General features: G+C 41.2%; 1 annotated feature.

Moving 5' to 3' along the window:
- Positions 230-756: an enhancer, noted in NCBI's record as "H3K27ac-H3K4me1 hESC enhancer chrX:24394111-24394637 (GRCh37/hg19 assembly coordinates)". NCBI's record gives its function as "activates a minimal SCP1, AML or CMV promoter by ChIP-STARR-seq in primed H9 embryonic stem cells {active_cell/tissue: H9 hESC(primed)}" and the evidence as "EXISTENCE:reporter gene assay evidence [ECO:0000049][PMID:30033119]".

The raw sequence follows: 21,612 nt of genomic DNA on the forward strand, positions 1-21,612 counted from the left end.
CGGACCCAGCATAGGAAAGCCACACACTCAGCCTGGATGCGTGGAGTGCGTGGAGAGGCTGAGGGACTCACCGGAGGGCACCCAGCCAGCCCACAGACAGGGAAGTGGGGAGGGGGCGGAAACCCATGCCTTCCAGCTGAGCACTGGGAGTGTTAGCCCAGTAAGTATTGGCCAGTGAGGCGCCTCGTGGTCAGAGCAGAGCCACCAGGTCCCACTGCCCCCAGCCCCTGCACAGCCCTCCCTCCTGCCTGGGTGAGGGAAGCTGGAGGTCATCGGAGATGCTGACTGCTGCCACCCCAGGTGCTCCCGCTCTGTCATAGCACTGATCAGTGACAACTTACAGGAATGTAGCAGCGATGGAATTACCTGGAACAGATTTGTGTGTGTGTGTGTGTGTGTGTGTGTGTGTGTGTGTGTGTGTGTGGTGGGGAGTGGGGGGGGTGCAACTAAACAAACACAAAGTTTTCTGTGTCAGGTATTGGGCTGGACAGGGCAGTTGTGTGTTGGGGTGGTTTTTTTCTCTATTTTTTTGTTCGTTTCTTGTTTTTTAATAATGTTTACAATGTCTCAATCACTCTTTTATAAAGATTCCACCTCCAGTCCTCTCTCCTCCCCCCTACTCACGCCCTCGAGGCTATTAGGAGATGCTTGAAGAACTCAATAAAATCCTAATCCAAGTCAAACTTTGCACATATTTATATTTCTATTCAGAAAAGAAACATTTCAGTAATTTATAATAAAGAGCACTATTTTTTAATGAAAAAAATGTGAATCTCAGGCTCTACTGCAAACCTGCTGAATCAGGATCTGCATTTTATTTTATTTATTTATTTATTTATTTATTTATTTATTTATTTATTTAGTAGAGACTGGGTCTCTATATGTTGCCCAGGCTGGTCTCAAGCTCCTGGCCTCAAGCGATCCTCTTGCCTTGGCCTTCCAAAGCACTGGGATTACGGGAGTGAGCCACCACGTCCAGCAGGATCTGCATTTTAATAAGATTCCCAGGTGATTTGTATACACAGTCAAGTTTGAAAAGGACGGCCCAATCCCAAAACAATTACATTCAGACTAAAATATCTTTTCCATCCATTGAATGTGTCATTTTTCAACATTTAGTGCATGGTCATTGTCTTCCCTAATCAAATCAGAAAATGCAAAGTTCACATGAGGTGGCATACCATCGTTGAAACAGTGGCCTTTCAGATCCTGACTCTTGATGCTTGCTGTCTACTTACCTTGGGCAAACTGCTTCATCTGTATAAGCCTCCTCTGTGTCCTCATCTGCAAAATGGGTTTGAGAGTTCCAACCTCCCCAAGTTGCTGTGATGACCGATAGACATAATGCATGTTAAGGATCATACATAGAGCATAGCATGATGTGGTGAATAGTCACCAAATTGTACTTACTTGTTTTTAAATAAGGAAACTCACATTCATATGGTTTAAAAAAAAGATCAAGAGTTCAGTGATAGGGCCACGATGAGTGGATTATAAAAATGGGCTTTCATACCCCAGTAGATTTGAATCTTGCCAGACTGTTCTACCAACCTAACTTAAACACATACACACACACACACACACCCCTACATCAAGGAGGAAAGGAGGCATTTTCAAATCCACGACTCTCCCCACTTGCCATCCCACCCACACAGATCCCACACAGCTAATTCAGACACCCTTCCTCCAATGAATCCTCTTGAGAAACACAGATATATATCTACAGAGTAATATTGTGAATGGTGTTTACTGTTTTTAATACCTTTTTGAGGATAAGGCAGACTGACAAAAGAATCCAATCCCATGGGCTTGTAAACTACTCAAAGAGCTTTTTTAATAGGGCTGTGGTAGCTGTTTGGTATCTCAGAATAAATCTAAGTCATAGAATAGGCTCAATAGCAGGAAATGCTCTTATCTCATTGTTCCTCAGACCCAACCATGCATTGGAATCGCAAGGGGGCTTGTTAAAACCCAGATTGCTGAACCCCACTGTCTGAGTGTCTGATACAGCAGGTCTGGGGTGGGGCCTGAGAATTTGTATCTCTAACAAGTTCCCAGGGATGCTGATGCTGATGGTCCTGGGACCATACACTCGTTGAAAGATGCTCTACTCCATGGAGAAGAGTCTGAATGTGCCAGTGAGAAGGATGATCTACTCTTCTACTCTGAAGAAAGAGAAGCATGAAAGGTTTTTTTTTTTTTTTTTTTTTGGATAGAATACTCAGGTAACTGTAACTGAAGTCAACCAAGTAGGTCTGGGTGGGTGGGCCCTGAGAATTAGCATTTCCAAGTTTCCAGGTGTTGCTGCTGCTGCTGCTGGATCAGGGACCATCCACATTTTGAGAACCTGTCTGGATGCAAATCACATGGTGGCCCTCCAGGGTGAATGCTGTAATTCCAAATTTAAACCTGAGTTATTGAAATGTAAACCCATTTAAATGGCTTAAACCCATTTAAACCATTCAAATACTAGAATGCTGGCTGTCTTCCAGACTCAATACCTTTTCATAGGGAAATGGGTAGAAAAGAGAGAAAGACCCCATGAGAGGGGAGAGAAGAGAGAGGAGAGCAATTGCATGCGCTAATAATCTCTTGCTGGAGACCCATTGGTTCCCAAGTCATCAGATCTCCAAAGCTAAAATTATATCCATGTGAGTATTTTAGGCCATAGAGAAAATAGGAAAACATCAAAGGTGATGGTTTAGACACAATGCTATTACGATTCATTTTTTAAACCTGCTGGCTATGTTTGTTACATCAAAACCTTCTTTTGAAAGAGGAAAACTACAACCATTACTCTTTGACCTAAAAATTCTTGGAAACTGGAAGACCTGAATTTTCTAAGAATCAACTCTTGGAATGATGTTTAGTTAATAAAAACACCAAGTTCCTTTGCTATTCCTGGGGAAGGAGTGCCAGTTTCAAAATCCTTTCCTCTAGTTAAAAATAATGCTATCAAATAAGTAACTACAAAATAATACCTTCTTTATTATATCAAAGATGAGCTTAGAGGCCTTAAGAACTGATTTCTTGTCAATATCTCTTAAAAGAGGAGATAGTTATGGCAAAAAGTGAGGGCTAGAGTGTGTAGAGGGATAAAGACATCTCTATTTAATCACGTCTTGAAATTATAGCGTTGTCAGCAAAATAATAATATTATTATTGTTTTTGAGACAGAGCCTCACTTTGTTGCCAGGTTAGAGTACAGTGGCATGGTCTCGGCTCACTGGAGCCTCAGCCTCCTGGGCTCAAGCGATCCTCCCACCTCAGCCTCAGCTGGAGTAGCTGGGATTACAGGTGTGCTCATCCACGATCGGCTAATTTTTCTGTTTTTGGTAGAGATGAGGTTTCACCACGTTGCCCAGGCTGGTCTTGAACTCCTGGGTTCAAGCGATCCTTCTGCCTCAGCCTCCCATAGTGCTGGGATTACAGGCGTATGCCACCACACCCAGCCAGAAAATATTGTCTGAGAACTAGCAATATTCTGGTTGCCATACTTTTTTTTGTTTGTCTTTGAAGCAAAGCAAAAGCATAAGCATAGTCATAAGGCAAGAATCTTGGTCTTATTTTTTTCAATCTCATGATTACTTTCATAAGGTAATAAGCCATTGAGGTGACTAAGAGATTAAGCAATTAAGAAGGGAAGGTTTGCTTTACAATCCTTTCTTTGCATGACCCATAGATACCATTCCTCTCTGCTCCTCCGTAATACCTAGGACCATGCTCCAAGCCCAGAATTATCCCTGACTGAATTAGGCTCTTTGGACTGCCTTCTGTTTCCCTTTGAAACCTGTATGTGGAGAATGGATTCAGTTGCAGAGAAATAAGCATGAGTATACGAATGATAGTACAATTTTGTATTTCTAGTCATCTGTTACATTGATTTTCTCAGCCACTATTCCTTCAAAAATTTTCTTCCAAAAAGAACACTGTGCCCTTTCTGACCAAGGTAAGATCAAATCTGCTTCCTCTGGTCATGAGCGAAAATCTCTCGATCAAACTTTCCACGGGAGGAGTTAATGTCAATGTCACTGATAATCTTTAACCGAGGTTGCCAGATTTACCAAATAAAAATGCAGGTTGCCCAATTACGTTTGAATTTCAGGTAAACAAAGAATAATTATGTTTTAGTATAACTACATCCCACATGTGGAGATTCAAATTAAGATGAAATAAAATTTAAAATGCAGTTCCTTTATTGCACTAGTCATATTGTTAAATGCTACATGTGGCTAGTGGCTAGCACAATGGACAGTGTAGCCTAATGCGGGCTGTAGAACATTTTCATCATCACAGAAAGTTCTGTTGGACACTGCTGTTTACAGCAAACCTGGGAGATGTTCCTGGAGACTGGATCCCAGGCAGATAGTTCAAGCTAGTAGGCTCTTGATGCACCATCTATTCCTCCTTCACATATAAAAATGCAAGTGATCCCCAAAGGCAGCAGGGAAAAGATCCTACCGGCCATTGCCTTTTGGGATAGCCCAATCCTGTACCTATTATAGGGCTGAATTGGCCAGTGCCGTGCAGAACCGATCGTTAAATTCATAGCTATTAGCATTTCTCCTGCGAGAAGCAAACCCTTTCTGTTTGTATAGGGCTTTGCAGATAATGAAGCATTTCCAATTCCACTTGAGATTTTTTTTTTTTTTTGGCCAGTGCTATTATTTATTTATATAACCTCATGCATTTATCAGAAGAGGCTTTTGAATGTTCTTACCACATAGGATTTTATCCTCACAATCATCCTGGGTGGTAAGCAGGCCCATGAGAAAAATAACAAGAACATGAAACCAGTTCCAAAAGAATTGCCTCATGCCATAAGGCAGGTTCTCACACTTGAGCTTCCAATCAGAATGCCCCCGAGGGCTTGTTAAAACACAAATTGTTGGGACTCAGCCCCAAAGTTCCTGATGCAGTAGGTCTGGGCTGGGGCTCAATAATTTGTATTTATCACAAATACCCAGGTCAAAAACGTCGGTCTGGGGACCATACTTTGAAAACCACTGCTATTGTGACATGGCCCTGCCCCAGTCTAATGATATAATGAGTTTAGGCTTTTTTTTGTTTCTCTGACCTGGCAGACTCCTCACACTGTTAGAGCTGCTTTGACGAGCTACGTCTGTTCACTTATTTGGGTTGTTATCACTTTTATTCTTTGCACAGCTTTTATCCATCTGCTAGTTTGATAATAAACTGAAGTGAGAACAACTTAAGCCAAGTTCAAGTTGACATTCTCCCTGTCTTTGCTTCTGACTGTGGTGTGCCCAGATTGTAGACTGGCCAGGCTCACTGGGTAGATATTTTAAATCCTCACTTGTATATTCACAAACTGAGCATTGGAAAAAGAAAAAGAAAATAACTTGCTCAAGTCACAGAGCTAGGGAGAGGTGGAACCAGGATATGAATCTAAGATTTCTAACTTCAGTTTTGGTTCTAAGAATATTCCAGGGTTTGTGAAAGTGTTCTGAGGTTTATGATTTTTAAAAAATAATAGTGGAATCTGTTTTCATTTCAACTGTAAAAGCCTCCAAGTGTTGACTGGCTGTTTGGGGCAGTCAAGATCCTATGCCTGTTAGTAGCAGGCCTGTTCCAGCATCATCTGCTTGGTTCTTTTGTCACTCAGGTGATGGCCTCATCTGCTATGGGGGTTTTGACCATTCTACAGCTTTCAATTATTTTTATTCAATTGTCTAACTTATTCTCGCAGTGGATTATTGGGTTCAGAAAGGAGGCATCAAAAATACTGATTTTAAAGTAGAATGAGCTACTGAACTGTACACTTAAAATGGTTAAGATGGTAAAAAAAAAATAGAATGAGCTGATGAGGGACATAAAAATTATAATTCTGAATTTTGACCTTACACCTGTAAGGAACATTCATATTATCATTTCTTACTACATCAATATATCTCTAGTTCTTCAAAATAAAAGTTAAAAGGATAAAAAGGAATATGCACTATATGGATAGTGGATATGGATTAAAAGATTTTATATGGATAAAAAGTTTTTATCCAACTTGGCTTTTCCTTTATTGAGAATAAAATTATCCATTTCCACAGCATATTACTTCTGAAGAAGTGCTTGCAAATAGCTGCCAAAAAGTGCTTGTGTCTCCTCTTTTAGAAACAAAATACAAAAATTATAATAATAAAGGAATGTATTTTTTAAAGTGCAAAAGTCAAGAATTCCAAATAACAGGCCATGGAAGCAGTCTGGATGGATTCAACACACAGTTAAATTTCAATCTACTTATTAATACACATTTGATCCCCAAACATGATATTAATATGTCATTTTGAATTTGTAGATAAACCATGTTCTTGCTTGTATACTTTAAAAAAGTATTCGCTATGACTTTTTTTGAATTGTTTTTATTTTTATTGATAAATAATAGATGTACATATTTTGGGGTACATGTGATAACTTGATATATTCATATAATGTGTAAAAATCAAATCAGAGTAATTGGGATATCCATCACCTCAAATATTTATCGTCTGTTTATTCTAGGACGAATTTATTTTCGTCTAGCTATTTGAAATGTGCAATAGATTATTGTTAACTATAGTCACTCTACTGATTTATCAAACTCTAGGTCTTGTTTCTTCTAAGCGTATGTTTGTACCCATTAATTGATCTCTCTTCATGCCCTCTGATACGGTTTGGCTGTGTCCCCATCCAAATCTCATCTTGAATTGTAATCACCACAGTCCTCACATGTCGCAGGAGGGACCCAGTGGGAGGTAATTGAATCAGGGCAGTTCCCCCATGCTGTTCTCGTGATAGTGAGTGAGTTCTCAGGAGATCTGATGGTTTTATAAGCATCTGGCATTTCCCCTGCTGGCACTCATTCTCTCTCCTGCCACCCTGTGAAGAGGTGCCTTCAGCCATGATTGTAAGTTTCTTGAGGGCTCCTGAGCCATGCGGAACTGTGAGTCAATTAAACCTCTTTTCTTTATGTATTACCCAGTCTCGGGTGTTTCTTCATAGCAGCGTGAGAATGGACTAATACACTCCCTCTTCCCAGATTCTGACAACCACCAAACTTCTCTCTGCCTTCATGAGATTCACTTTTTTAGCTCCTACATATGAGTAAGAACATGTGATGTTTGTCTTTCTGTGTCTGGCTTATTTCTCTCAACATAATGACCTCCAGTTCCATTTATGTTGCTGCCAATGACATTAGCATTTCTCCTGAGAGAAACAAATCCTTTATGTTTGTATGGGGCTTTGCAGATAACAAAGCATATCCAAGTCCACGTGGGATTTTTGGGGGTCCAGTGCTTTTATTTATTTATTTATTTTTATAACCTCACACATTTATTGGAAGAGACTTTTGAATGTTCTCACCACATACGATTTTATACTCACAATCACTCTGGGTGGTAAGGTTTTCATTCTTTTTTATGGCTGAATAATATTCCATGGTGTATGTACACCACATTTTATCCATTCATCTGTTGATGGGCACTTCGGTTTATCCCATATCTTGGCTATTGTGAGTAGTGCTGCAATAAACATGGAGGTACAAATATCTCTTCAATATATTGATTTCCTTTCTTTTGGGTGTATACACAGTAGTGGAATTGCTGGATCATATAGCAGCTCTATTTTTTGTTTCTTGAGGAACCTACATAGTCTTCTCTGTAGTGATTGTACTAATTTACATTCCCACTAACACTGTACGAGGGCTCCCCTTTCTCCACGTCTTTGCCAGCATCTGTTATTCCCCCCCGCCTTTTTAAATAAAAATCATTCTTACTGAGGTGAAATGATATCTCACTGTGGTTTTGATATGCATTTATCTGATAATTAGTGATGTTGAGCTTTTTTATATACATTTGTTAGCCATTTGTATGTCTTCTTTTGAGAAATGCCTATTCAGATCTTTTGCCCATTTTAAATCAGATTATTAGATTTTTTTTCCTATAGAGTTATTTCAGCTCCTTATATATTCTGGTTATTAATCCCTTGTCAGATGGGTAGTTTGCAAGTATTTTCTCCCATTTCATGGATTATCTCTTCACTTTGTCGATTGTTTCTTTTGCTGTGCAGAAGCTTTTTAACTTCATGTGATCCCGTTTGTCCATTTTTGCTTTGGTTGCCTGTGCTTATGGGGTATAACTCAAATGTTTGCCCAGTCAAATGTCCTAGAGAGTCTCACCAAAGTTTTCTTGTAGTAGTTTCATAGTTTGGGGTCTTAGATTTCAGTCTTTAATCCATTTTTATTTTTATTTTTGTGTATGGAAAGAGATAGTGATCTAGTTTCATTCTTCTGCATGTGGATATCCAGTTTTCCTGGCACCATTTATTGAAGAGAGTGTCCTCTCACTGATGTATGTTCTTGGCACCTTCGTAAAAAGTGAGTTCAGTGTAGATGTATAAATTTGTTTCTGGGTTATCTATTCTGTTCCATTGGTCTATGTGTCTGTTTTTGTGCCAGTACCCTGATGTTTTTGTTACTATAGCTCTGTAGAATAATTTGAAGTCAGGTAATGTGTTTCCTCTGGTTTTGTTCTTTTTGCTTAGGATAGCTTTGGCTATTCTGTGTCTTTTGTGGTTCTGGGTGCATAAATATTTATCATTGTTATAGCCTCTTGCTGAATTGACCCTTTTATCATTATGTGGTGATTTTATTTTTCTCTTTTTACAGTCTTTGACTTGTCTATTTTATTTGATGTAAGTGTAGCTACTCCTGCTCTTTTTTGGTTTCCACTTACATAGAATATCTTTTTTCATCCCTTTACTTTCAGTCTATGTGTGTCTTTATAGGTAAAGTGAGTTTCTTATAGGCAGCATATAGTTCTGTCTTGTTTCTTTATCCCTTCAGCCACTCTGTCTTTTAATAGGAGAACTGAGTCCATTTACATTCAGTGTTATTATTAAGTAAGGACTTACCACTGCCATTTTTGTTGCTTGTTTTCTGGTTGTTTTGTAACTCCTTTTTTCCTTTCTTACTGTCTTCCTTTGTGGTTAAGTAATTTTCTCTGGTAGTGTGTTTTAATTCATTGCTTTTTATTTTTAGTGAGTCTATTATAGGTTTTTGCATTGTGGTTACAATTAGGCTTACAAAAACATCTTATGGATATAACAAGTTATTTTAAAGAGATGACAACTTATCTTAGATCACAAAGAAAATAATAGAAACACAGAAAAAAATGAAAACAAAAAAGCCTCTCCACTTCAACTCCATCCCCCCTACATTTTGACTTTCTGTTGTCTCAATTACATATTTTTATATTGTCTATCTTTTAACAGCTTACTGTAGCTATTGTTTTTGATAGATTTATCTTTTAGGCTTTATACTACAGTTATGAGTGAATTGCACACTACAATTACAGTACTAGAGCATTCTGAGTTTGTCTGCGTACCTAGTTTTAACAGTGAATTTTATACCTTCAATTTTTTCCTTTCTGCACATAGTGTTCCTTTTTTTCCGGCTTTATCTCTCCTTCATATTTGAAAACTACGGTATTCTTGAATGGTAGGTTTCTTTTTTCCCCCAGCACATTGGAAATATCATCCCGCCCCCTCTGAGGCTGTATGATTTCCATTGAGAAGTCTACTGCCAGATGAATTGGAGCTCCTTTATATGTTATTTGTTTATTTTCTCTTGCTGCTTTTAGAATCCTCTATTTGTCCTTGACCTTTGGGAGTTTTATTATGTGCCCTGGGGCAGTCTTATTTGAGTTGAATCTGTTTGGCATTCTATGACCTTCCTGTAACTGGATATTTGTATCTATCTCAAGTTTTGGAAAATGTTCTGTTATTTATTTCCTTAAGTGAGCTTCCTACCCCTTGCTCTTGCTCAGCTCCCTTTTGATCACCAGTAATTCTTAGATTTGGTCTTTTGAGGTAATTTTCTATATTTTGCAGGTGATCTTTATTCCTTTTAATTCTGTTTTTTTCCTCTGACTGTATTTTCAAATATTCTGTCTTTGAGATTAGTGATTCTTTCCTCTGCTTGATCTAGTCTGCTGTTGGGGGCCTCTAATGAATTTTTCTGTTCAGAAAATGTATTTCTCAGTTCCAAGATTTCTGTTTGGTTTTTTAAATTATTTCAATCATCTCTTCATTAATTTTCTGTGATAAATTTCTGAATTGCTTTTCAGTGTTATCTTGGATATCACTGAGTTTCCCTAAAATTGCTATTTCGAATTCTTTGTCAGATAACTCACGTATCACCTTCTTATTAGGATCAGCCATTGGTTCCTTGCTTTGTCTGTTTGGATAATGTTTCCCTATTTGCTATTGTCTCTTGTGGATGTGTGTCTATGTCTTTGCATTGAAGGATTAATTATTTATTCTAGTCTTCTCTTTCTGGCCTGTTTTGGATTTTATTGGTTATGTTTGCTTAGAGATTCTTCATAATTTACCTGCTGAATTTCTTCTTCTTTCCACTAGGTCATTGCCTCATTTTTGGCATTAGATGGTGCTTAAAGCTCAAGTTTGCCTCCACTCTAGCAAAGGATAGGAGTGCTGCCAGTTAGGAATAGGGGAGGTCCCAAAGGAGATAACCTGGCAGTGTGGAAGAGCTGGCTTGGGGTTCATGCCACTATACGTCCTACAACACGGTGCTGCTGAACGGCTACTCTGATTTGGCATCTCCTTTGGCCAAGTTACAGAGCAGAGTTTCCAGGGCTAGGGGTGATAGTCCTGATTCCCTTTTTCTGGCTGTCCTCAGGGATATTTTTCCCTTCAGGCACTCCCAGTGCTTCCTGTGGGTTGAGGCAGGGATAGAGCTCCTGCCAGGGAACCAAAAATAGTGGAGAAGGTGGTTGTCCACCTCAATTTCACTTTTTCCAGTGTAGAAACTCTGAGTCTAGAAAAATTTTCTGCAAGCTTGGTGTCAGGCAGACTGGGAGAAGAGGTGTTGCAGATATGGAAGTCCCATTCTCTTACCATCTTCTCAGAGATTTTTCACTTTTCTGTGGCCCCAGGAACTATCTCATCCTCATCTTTGTCTCTTGTATACTTAGTTAAAAATAAATTAAACAGCATGCATCACTTGTTAAATGGAGAAAGGTCAAACTTTGTCCTTGTATATCCTAAACATTATTGTTATTTGAGACAGTCTCACTCTGTTGCCCAGGCTGGAGTGTAGTGGTGTGATCTCAGCTCACTGCAACCTCTGCCTCCCAGGTTCCAGCAATTCTTGTGCCTCAGCCTCCCGAGTAGCTGGGACTACAGGTGTGTGCCACCACACTTGGCTAATTTTTGTATTTTTAGTAGAGACCGGGTTTCACCATGTTGGCCAGGCTGATCTTAAACTCCTGACCTCAAGTGAGCCACCCACCTCGGCCTCCCAAAGTGCTGGGATTACAGGTGTGAGCCACTGTGCCTGGCCTTATTATAAATACTATTAAAGAATACATTAAACTGCAAATGATAATACAATCTTTAATAATATACTGATCCAAATTCCTTTTCCTTAAAAGTTAAAGTTGCTTGCTGTCCTATACCATACTACAACAACACAATGAGTTAGCAATTCTGTGGGGGTTAATGAGATTATAGATTTTCATGAATGCAGTTTTTAAGGATAGAGAACAGAAGACAGTAAGGGTGACTGCAGTGGAGAGGGTAGGATAGGTCAGTGTGTCTGCATGTATGTTTCGTGCTAGGGCTTTTGTATTACACCATTTCTAGTGCAAATAATAGAAATCCAATTCAAACCAGTTTAAGCAAAGAGGGGGATTTATTGGCTCAGGAAACTGGCAAGTCCAGAGATAGAACTTGTTTCAGAGACTCTAAGACATCAAGTGCTCTCTGCCACGCCCTCTCTCAACTCAGCTCTGATTTTCTCTGTGTTGATCTCTTTATCTCCTAGATATTCTTTCACATGGAGGGAGGCGAGGTCAAAGCTCTTTTCATCCCAGTGAAGTGGTGTCATTCTTCTGGGGTAATACCCAAGGTTCGTTGTCCTATGCCAAGGAAATCAATGACATGGACACACAAGGAGTGAGGTTAAGAATGGAGGTTTAATAGGCAAAAGAAAGAGAAGAGCTCTCTGTGCAGAGAGGGGTCCAGGAGAAAATGGGTTGCCACTTCCTCAGTGAGATGCAGAATGTTCCATAGATGAGCTTGAGGAGGCGGTGTCTGATTTACATAGGGCACAAAAAGTTGGTTGGATCAGGTGTGCCATTTGCATAGTGTGTGAAGAAGCTGGCCACTCCTCCCTAACCTTTTATTATGCAGATGGGTTCTCTACCTGGCTGGTGCCATGTTGCCTGGTTTTTTACTGTACTTGTGGTGATAAAGAAAAGGGAAGATGCAGCCTCCATGTTGAACATAGCTGGCTTCCAGGTAGCCCTTTCCTATTGGCACATCTGCCGGTATTCACCTGTGCAAGCTTCCAGCTTGCTTATCTATGTCTGTAGCTCAAGTTTTCAGGCTGCTCTTTGTTAGAAAAGAAATGATTTGGGGGCTGCCTTTTGATAGGACAGAGATAAGCCACAGATAATGGCTCTGGTGGGTATATGTGTAACCCAGATGTCTTCAAAGTCTCCAGATACCTTCAATGCCAAATGGAAAATAGCTTGAGTCCCTGGGCTGAATATTCCCCATTTGTCCCTCCAGATCCAGTCTGGAGAGTAGCTGCTTCTGGTTTGGTCCAGACAATGGAGGACACCAGTAGATCTGAGATAGGAAGAGAGAGGCAGGCGTACTTATTCCTGCAGCCCACTCCCTGCCAGGCTATGCTGGTCAGCAGCTTTTTTCCTCTGGTGAGAGCTACAACTTCCATCAGGCAGCCCTCTCCTAGAGCTATAGCTCCCACCCATTTTGGTAACTCTTCCTTCTCTTTGCCCCTTCAGGCAAAGTATTTGTGTTTTTGTGACTGGCTTATTTCACTTAGCATAATGTCCTCAAGGTTCATCCATGTTGTAGCATGTGACAGGATTTCTTTCTTTTTAAAGGCAGAGTAAGATTCCATTGTGTGTATATACCACATGCTGTTTATCCATTGATGGACATTTGGATTGCTTCCACCCCTTGACTATGGTGAATAAAGCTGCTGTGAACACTGATGTGCAAACATATCTTTGAGACCCTGCTTTTTATTCTTTTGGGTGTACACCCAGAAGTGGGATTGTTGGATCATACAGTAGTTCTATTTTTAACTTTTTGAGGAAACTCCATACTGTGTTTCATAGTGATTGCACTCTTTTACAATCCCATCAACAGTGCACAAGGGTTTTAATTTCTCCACATCCTCACCCACACTTGCTATTTTCTGTTTTTTTTTAAAATTTTTTTTATAATGGCCATCTCTAATGGGTGTGAGGCGATATCACATCGTGGTTTTGATTTGCATGTCTTTGATCATGTATGATGTTGAGCGTCTTATGCTTGGCCATTTATATTTCAGCTTTAGATAAATGTCTATTTAAGTTATTTACCCATTTTTTGATCAAGTGATTTGATTTTTTATTAATGAGTTGTCCCATTTTGTTTTTAACCAGAGTTTTTGACATTGATAGGGAAAACGTGTGTTGTGTAGTTTTGTGTTAAAAGCCTTCACATTCCCATGTCCTCTGAGGACTGGGAGCTCAGGGGAGGTGGGTTGTGCTTGATGATCCAGAAAGTTTCCCTAAATGAAGAAGCAAGGACGCAGCCAGCAAAACTCCAGGAGTTTCCAATATTCTCTGAAACCCAGTGAGGTTGGGGAAGAGATTACCTTCATCTCTGTCCTCCAGCCCACATCCTAGGCAGCATATTAGCATTCTTTATTTTATTTTTGAGACAGACTCTTACTCTGTTGCCCAGGCTGGATTGCAGTGGCGCAATCTAGGCTCACTGCAACCTCTGCCTCCTGGGTTCAAGCGATTCCTGTGCCTCAGCCTCCCAAGTAGCTGGGATTACAGGTGTGTGTCACCACGCCTGGCTAATTTTTTGTATTTTTAGTAGAGACAGGATTTTGCCATGTTGGCCAGGCTGGTCTTGAACTCCTGGCTTCAGGTGATCTGCCCACCTCGGCCTCCCAAAGTGCTGAGATTACAGGTGTGAGCCACTGTGCCCGGCCAGCATTCTTGTATATTAGGACAGACATGAATGTGATTTTAGTAGTAGTGTATAGGAGTCTATAGAAGCTGGAAAGAAAGAAATAACTTTTAGTCTTCAAGAGAAAAATCATCTATGCCAGCCTCCGAAGTCACACTGTCTGAGGACTTTCTGCAGTGATGGACATGTTCTGTGTCTCTGCTGTCCCCTATGGTAATCAGTGAATATTGAGCACTTGAAATGTGGCTAGTGGGACTGAGGAACTGAATTTTTAATTTAATTTAATTTTGATAAATATAAACTTAAATAGCCACATGTGGTTAGTGGCTACCAAATTGGACAACACAGAAAAGTATGCAAAATATATCTTAATTTGGGAAGAGGACTAGAGGGTTTACATAGGTTTACATTTTACTAATATGCATGATATTGGGCCTGTGTACACACAAGTTGATCGTATAGTATCTGAGATTTAGACAACCTGCTGGTCATTGTCTGTGATGGTGGTGAACGAGGAGGAAGAAGAGGAAGTCTGGGCCTGTAGTCAAAGGAGGTGATTAAAGGACCAAGGACAGGGCAGGAGGAAATTGGTGAAGAATATGATCAATCAATATACAGGTACATACAGAGCACATTCTGTCCTAGGGAGAAGCTACAAGTGGTATGAAAAGTTGGATCCACTCCCAAAGGGCTTACTATGTCTGGGGTGAGACAAGATACGGTCACATGAAGTGCGTGGTAAACAAGATACGCCATAATGTCACAGTTATGCCAAATGCCATAATTTCAAAGTTATGCCAAACATCATAATGTCAAAGTTATGTCAAATGCCATAATATCAAAGTTATGCCAAACAGATAAATACAATGCATCTCCAAGAAGGGAGAAATCCACCTTGGCCCCAGACATCAGAACCAGACTGCCTGGATTGATTGCTGGCTCTGCCACTTACTGGTTGTGTGACCTTGGGCAAGTCACTTGCTATCTATATGCTCAGTTTCCTCATGATAAAATGAAATGATAAATGTGCCAATATTATAGGGTTGCCATGAGCATTAAATGACATATGTGAGAGTGCTTAGAACAGTGCCTGGAATACATAAGTGCTAATTAAATATTAGCTGTCATTGAAGGGGGAGAGGAAACGGTAGAGTAGGAAAAAGGGCATTAGCTTTCATAACCTACATCCATCCAGGCACCTTCTTTAAATATAACTTAAACTCCTTGTGATCAATTTGATACTGAGTAGAACTGTTATTTATGGTGTAATTAGCTACTCTCAAGTTCACTTATGTAGCAAAAGTCAGGAAAAAGTAAGGAAAATAGGTTCTTAGGTAAATGTCCCCAGAAGTAGACCTTCAGATGAGGATTCACAAGCAAGTGATTTATTAAGGACATGCTCCCAGGGGAGGCAGGGAGGGAATGGAGGACAGGACAGAGAAGGGGAGGGAGCTAAGCAAATAGATTATCTTTTTTTTAAAATTTTTATTATTATTATTATACTTTAAGTTTTAGGGTACATGTGCACAATGTGCAGGTTAGTTACATATGTATACATGTGCCATGCTGGTGTGCTGCACCCATTAACTCGTCATTTAGCATTAGGTTTTTTTTTTTTTTTAATTACAAATAGATGATCTTAAGTGAAGTCACTGCCCCAGCCCGATCCCACAGGGGAGCTCTTGGGGGTAAGTTACACCCCTTTAGTGTACCACAAATCCAAACAAGGCAGCTGGACTTTGAGATGCTCACACCTGCTGGTCATTGGCTAAATTCCACCCCAGGGAACCTAAACCTCCAGGCACCATGAGCAAAGCAGTGTCAAAAGTCCACGCGGGCAGGAAAAACATACAGAATTTCAGGGAAGGCCACTCAGAAACAGGAAAAGGGTGGCGCCATTTGAATGAAGCAGCTGCTATCGTCCACTGAATATTATGGGTTTTGCTGAACAAGGCTGGGCAAAGAACTTACTGGGGCAAATTGGTGCTGCTAATTGGTGACCACCCAAACTTCCAAACAGTGGATCTCAAACTTCAGGCTGTGTAAGATCCCCTGGAAGTCGTTTAAAATGTAGATTCCTGGGCTTCATCTCCAGAAATTGTAATTCAGTGGGTGGGACTCAGGAAACTTCATTTTCAACATGCTCCCTGGGTAATTTGGATGTGGGGATCCTTGGACCATGCCCTGAGAATCACTGCCTTAGGGGACTGGCAGGAAGGTGTTGAGGTTGAGTGGTCAGGCTGGCTCACAGGCAGGGTTCCCAGTAGTGCTTAATGTTATCAGCAGTGCGCTGGTGAACAGACATGGAAAAGTGTGGAAACCGCTTCATGACTACCTTCCTGGGGAGGCACAAAACAAGACGGCTTGTCCCAAGTAGGGTGCAGAAAAACAATTTCCCTGGAGTGGCCATTGTGTGAGCCCTGAGGGAAAGGGGAGCAAGGGATGTAATTTAAAGAACTACAATCAGGGAGTGTCTTCAGCTAATTCCCCTAGAAAGCCTGAGACTAGGATCTGAGTTCAAGTAGTTTACTTGGAAGAGATCCCAGGAAGCACCAGTATGGAAGTGAGAATTGGAGGGACAGGGCAGAGAAGGCAGGTAGTCAGTACAGGATATGTTACCAGGCTGGGCGCGGTGGCTCACGCCTGTAATCCCAGCACTTTGGGAGGCCGAGGCGGGTGGATCACGAGGTCAGGAGTTTGAGACCAGCCTGACCAACATGGTGAAACCCTGTCTCTACTAAAAAATACAAAATTTAGCCGGCCATGGTGGCGTGTGCCTGTAGTACCAGCTACTCAGAAGGCTGAGGCAGGAGAATTGCTTGAACCCCGGGAGGCGGAGGTTGCAGTGAGCCGAGATCGCACCACTGCACTCCAGCCTGGATGACAGAACGAGACTCCATCTCAAAAAAAAAAAAAAAAAAGAAAAAAAAAAAGGATATCTTACCGGTGTCAGCAGCAGACCACTGTTGGCAACTGGGGTTTGATCCTGCTGGGCACATCTGAGAGACCATGCAAACACATGCTTGAGTTGTCCCACTTGGGGTGAGAAGCTGGGGCATTTTGCCATTGCCGCTTCCTGAAACTTCTGGCATACCCTGGGTATTTGGTGAGCACCCCCCTGCAGCTGGAAAAAGCCCCAGGCAGAGTTGCAGATGCTTGCAATAGAAAGCTATCAGCATGTACAAGGCTGGTGAGTGCTGAGCGGATACTGGCAGGACTCCTATAGCGTCTGCCAGAGGGAGTGGAAATTGTTCATTTCACAAACAAGGACGATTTCTCACACGAAATTGCCTGCTGCCTACAGGGCTTATGTTAGGTGGATCTGCTTGTCTGCAGTGGTCCTCTGTCCCTTAGCTGCATGTTCTGATGCCTTCAGTCTGGCCAGATTTCTGGGAAAATCCCAGCCAAAGGATTGTAAGAGGTCCAGGTCCTCTAGTTCATGAGGTTCTGAAGATGTGTGCTGCTGGTGGCCCAGGAATTAGCTTCTACCCACCCTGGCCTTGCACATTTTCTGTTCACTGCATTGCTAGCTATTGGAGCCACATCTGATCTCCAAAAATCCATGCCTGCCACCATTGCACCAGGCCAAGCCCAAGAGGAGAACTGTAAGACAGTCAGCATTTGTAGAGTTCCTTCTTGAACTGTCCTTCCTATCCATTTCTTTCTAGTTTCATCACCAGCCTTGATCATTTGTCACTGTCCCTTTTGTTTAACTGTCATTACCTCACAGTGCTGATGAAGCCATGAGGAGAACTGATATACCAGTGCTAATGATCATCAATGAGGTGATGGTGGAGGTGACAGGAAACAGGAGAAAATGACAAGGACAATTTGACATAGCCAAGAAAGGGATCCCCAGGCATGTCCACAGAGTTTGGGAAAGAACACGTCAAAAAATTTACCAAAAAAATATGGTCATGAGCTCATGGCTGGAGAGTCCAAAAACCAGAGATGAGCAAGAGAAAATGATTGCTGAAGAATTGTTCATAATATATAACCACAGAGGAAGCTGGAGAGGAGAGGAATGGGGTGGATCTAAAGAAGCCGTCGAGGCTTCAGCTCTTCAATAGCTTTGATTTTGAAGGGATATGTATAGAAACAGAAACCAGACATCAGTAAAGAATCAACACAAATCATGTCAAAAGTTTATCAGATTGGAAATCAAAAGATAGAATGGCCCAGATTTTCAGAAAGTCTAATGTCAGCAATACAAAAATCATTTGTGCTACATTTAGACCAGAAATAAAATAAGGAGAAAATAGGTCTGCTTGGGGTGAGTGAAGTGATACAAGCAAAAGACCACGAGAAAGAACCGTACAATTCCTAGTTTGTTTCCCCCTTTTTCTTATTGTTTATTAAAGAGAATGCTCTTTAAACTGGAAATGGTGAAAGACTCTTGGTTAAAGAAGAGAGAGAGGCAGAAATAGAAAAGAGTGTGAGTGTTTTGAACAAGTTCAAATAAGGCAATCTGTAGGTGGAAGGGGCTGTCATTGGGGGTAGTGCATTCAGTTTTGTATGTCAAGTTTTCAAAGAATCACTGTCTCTTATAAAAAGGGGACAGGGTACCTGGGAAATGAGGTCTCTGAAAGTCATGGCAAGTGAAAGCTGTAAGTGCTAGGTAGGTATAGTCTGGCAAGGGGGAGACATGGAGGAAGGACATCAAGCTAACACAAAAGATGCAAAGGGATGACATTTGGAAAAGGTCTGGACCAGGCTGTGGTAGGGTAGAGAGTAGAACTAAGCCCAGTGGGTTGACATTCCATTGACAGTCCAACGCAGTATGAAACTTCTGAATGCTTAGAAGCAATTAGCATTAAACAACTGCCTCAAGGTAGTGGTGTCTCTACAACAGTAAAGTTTAACCTGAGAGTAACTGAATCTGTCAAGGCTGTTGTAGACAGAATTTTTGTAGAGGATATGAGGCTAGGATCTCAAGCATTCTTTCTTTCTTTTTTTTTGAGACAGAGTCTCACTCTGTCGCCCAGGCTGGAGTGCAGTGGCACGATCTTGGCTCACTGCAACCTCTGCCTCCCGGGTTCAAGTAATTCTGCCTCAGCTGCCCGAGTAGCTGGGATTACAGGTGCCTACCACCATGCCCGGCTAATTTTTGTATTTTTAGTAGAGATGGGGTTTCCCCATGGTCAGGGGGTTTCCCCCCTGACCATGTTGCCCAGGCTGGTCTCGAACTCCTGGCCTTAAGTGATCTGCCCACCTTGGCCTTCCAAAGTGCTGGGATTATGGGCATGAGCCACCACGCCTGGCCCCAAGCATTAGTTCTTAATCTTCTTTAGGCCACGGACTCTTTTGATAATCTGATAAAAATGATAGATTCTCTATGTATTAAAATGCCGGTATGTGCCAACACTACTCTTTATGTTCAATTTCAAGGAGTTCATTTTTCCTAAAGCAGGACTATGGTCCCCAGCTTAAGCCCACCTCTAAAGGGATTCTTCTATCTCTAAAATGCAGCGATTCTAAGTCCTTTCTATAGAAGTTGTATTTTCATGAATCTTTCCTCAGTGACCCTTTGTAAACCTTTTTTTTTTTTTTTTTTTTTTTGAGACAGAGTTTCACTCTTGTTGCCCAGGCAGGAGTGCAATGGCGCGATCTCGGCTCACCGCAACCTCTGCCTCCCAGGTTCAAGCAATTCTCCTGCCTCAGCCTCCCGAGTAGCTGGGATTACAGGCATGCGCCACCACGCCCGGCTAATTTTGTATTTTTAGTAGGGACGGGGGTTTCTCCATGTTGGTCAGGCTGGTCTCGAATTCCTGACTGCAGGTGATCTGCCCACCTCGGCCTCCCGAAATGCTGGGATTACAAGTGTGAGCCACTGTGCCCGGCCTGTAAACATTTTTATGGCTTGATACAAAAAAAGGGGGGTGCTGAGTGTGCTATTTTATGAAACTAGCTGAATGTTCAGGCCGACCAAACATTCTGTCTCCTGATGTATGACTTCCACATTATGGCAGCACTTAAAAATTTTAAACCATCTCTCAGCACCTGTGTGTTTGACACCCACCACACACTATCTAATGCCAAGTCGCAAAGGTTCAACTTTGTAAATCGAAGGACTGATTCAACTTTGTAAATCAAAGGACTGATTCACAGTTATTTGCCTCTTGTTTCCAGCTGTGGTCTGCATCAGGTCGAAGAAATGTTGTAATACACAGAAGCACCACAAGATGACACCCTTGGGAAAGTCTTGCTTTGCAGGTTGGTTTCCCAGCTCTGACGTCTATTCTAAACATAGCCTTACAAAATGCTTGTGGAAGAGGGAAGAGAATCTATTACTGGGGAGGAAAAACACCAATGACAAAACAACCCTGGCACTTTCCTGAGTTTTGGGATACAGAGTCAAGTCTTGATTACTTTCTTCTGCTTCTTAATTATCAGTTTTTGCAGGCAGACACATAGATTTATGTAACACATAAGCATATCTTTCATACACATCTATTTTCTGCCGATGCTGATGCTCTATGTGATTTAGAAGCTGTTCATAACTTGGGAGAAGAGCCTTTCTTCTTTTGTATTGTAAGCTTTCACATCCACTTTTTTTATTGCCTCTGTCCCCTACTTCACTGTCAGTAAGAATATTGGGTTTGCATGGAAACATCATAAAATGCCTTTATGGAAAGAGGAAAGTGTGGTTAGACCAGCTTTTTCTGCCATGAATATCAGGCCAACTGGAGAGAAGATCAAAGCGAAAGGTGAGGGCAGAGTGGGCTAGGATGGAAAGCGGGATTACTCACTGAAATTGACATGTCTGTTCAATCCTTTTGCTCCCTCCAAATTTTTCTTAAAAAAGCAATTAAAAAAACCCCATGTTCATGCTACATTAAGCCTCATGTTTCCATTTCTCATTTTACTGCTTGAGTGGCACTTGCTATCACTTGGTAAGCTTACTTAAGAGAGGGAACAATGTCGATTAGAATACAGTTGTCTGTGTTGAGTAAGAGCCCTCCGTTGGTTTGTGGTCTTTGGCAGGCAGCTAGTAAAAATAATAAGCTCTGAACAGATGCCATGTTTCTTTGGCGAATGGTTTTGGCCAGTCTTCTTTTCATTTTTGTACCTGCAAGTGGAAAATTACTGCTTTAATGAGCTATGTTACCCAGTGGTAAAAATGTTTGAAATTACCCAATGGAGGAAAGCAGTCTTTTGAAAGATTTGTGAGAAGAGGTAATACAAAACCCCAACAAATTCCACTGGGAAATTCTTTTCTTACATTTTATTTCAAGGATAGTTCTGCTAGAAACCTGTATTTCTGAGCAAAGAGCTGTGAAACTGAATTCCAAACTAGTTACAACTGTGGGGAACAAGGCACATAGTCATTTAGAGAGCATCTTTCCTGGCCTGGCTCTGTGCTGGGCATTACTGGCAATGCAGGGATTAAAACGACACTGTTTCTCTCCTCTGGGAGCTTCCAACCTAATGGGAAAGACAAACATACAGAGACCCCATGTTATGCCTGGAATTATAGTTGAGTGCCAAGAGCAAAATAAAATAAAAGTACAGCTCTGCTTGGCTGGGTCTGGCTGCAGCAACTCAAAATCTACTAATATGCAGACGTTCGCAAAGTCAAATTATCTTTTGTCCTTGAAATCTAAGTAG

This window comes from Homo sapiens, chromosome X (assembly GCF_000001405.40).
Source record: "Homo sapiens chromosome X, GRCh38.p14 Primary Assembly".
Lineage (NCBI taxonomy): Eukaryota > Metazoa > Chordata > Mammalia > Primates > Hominidae > Homo > Homo sapiens.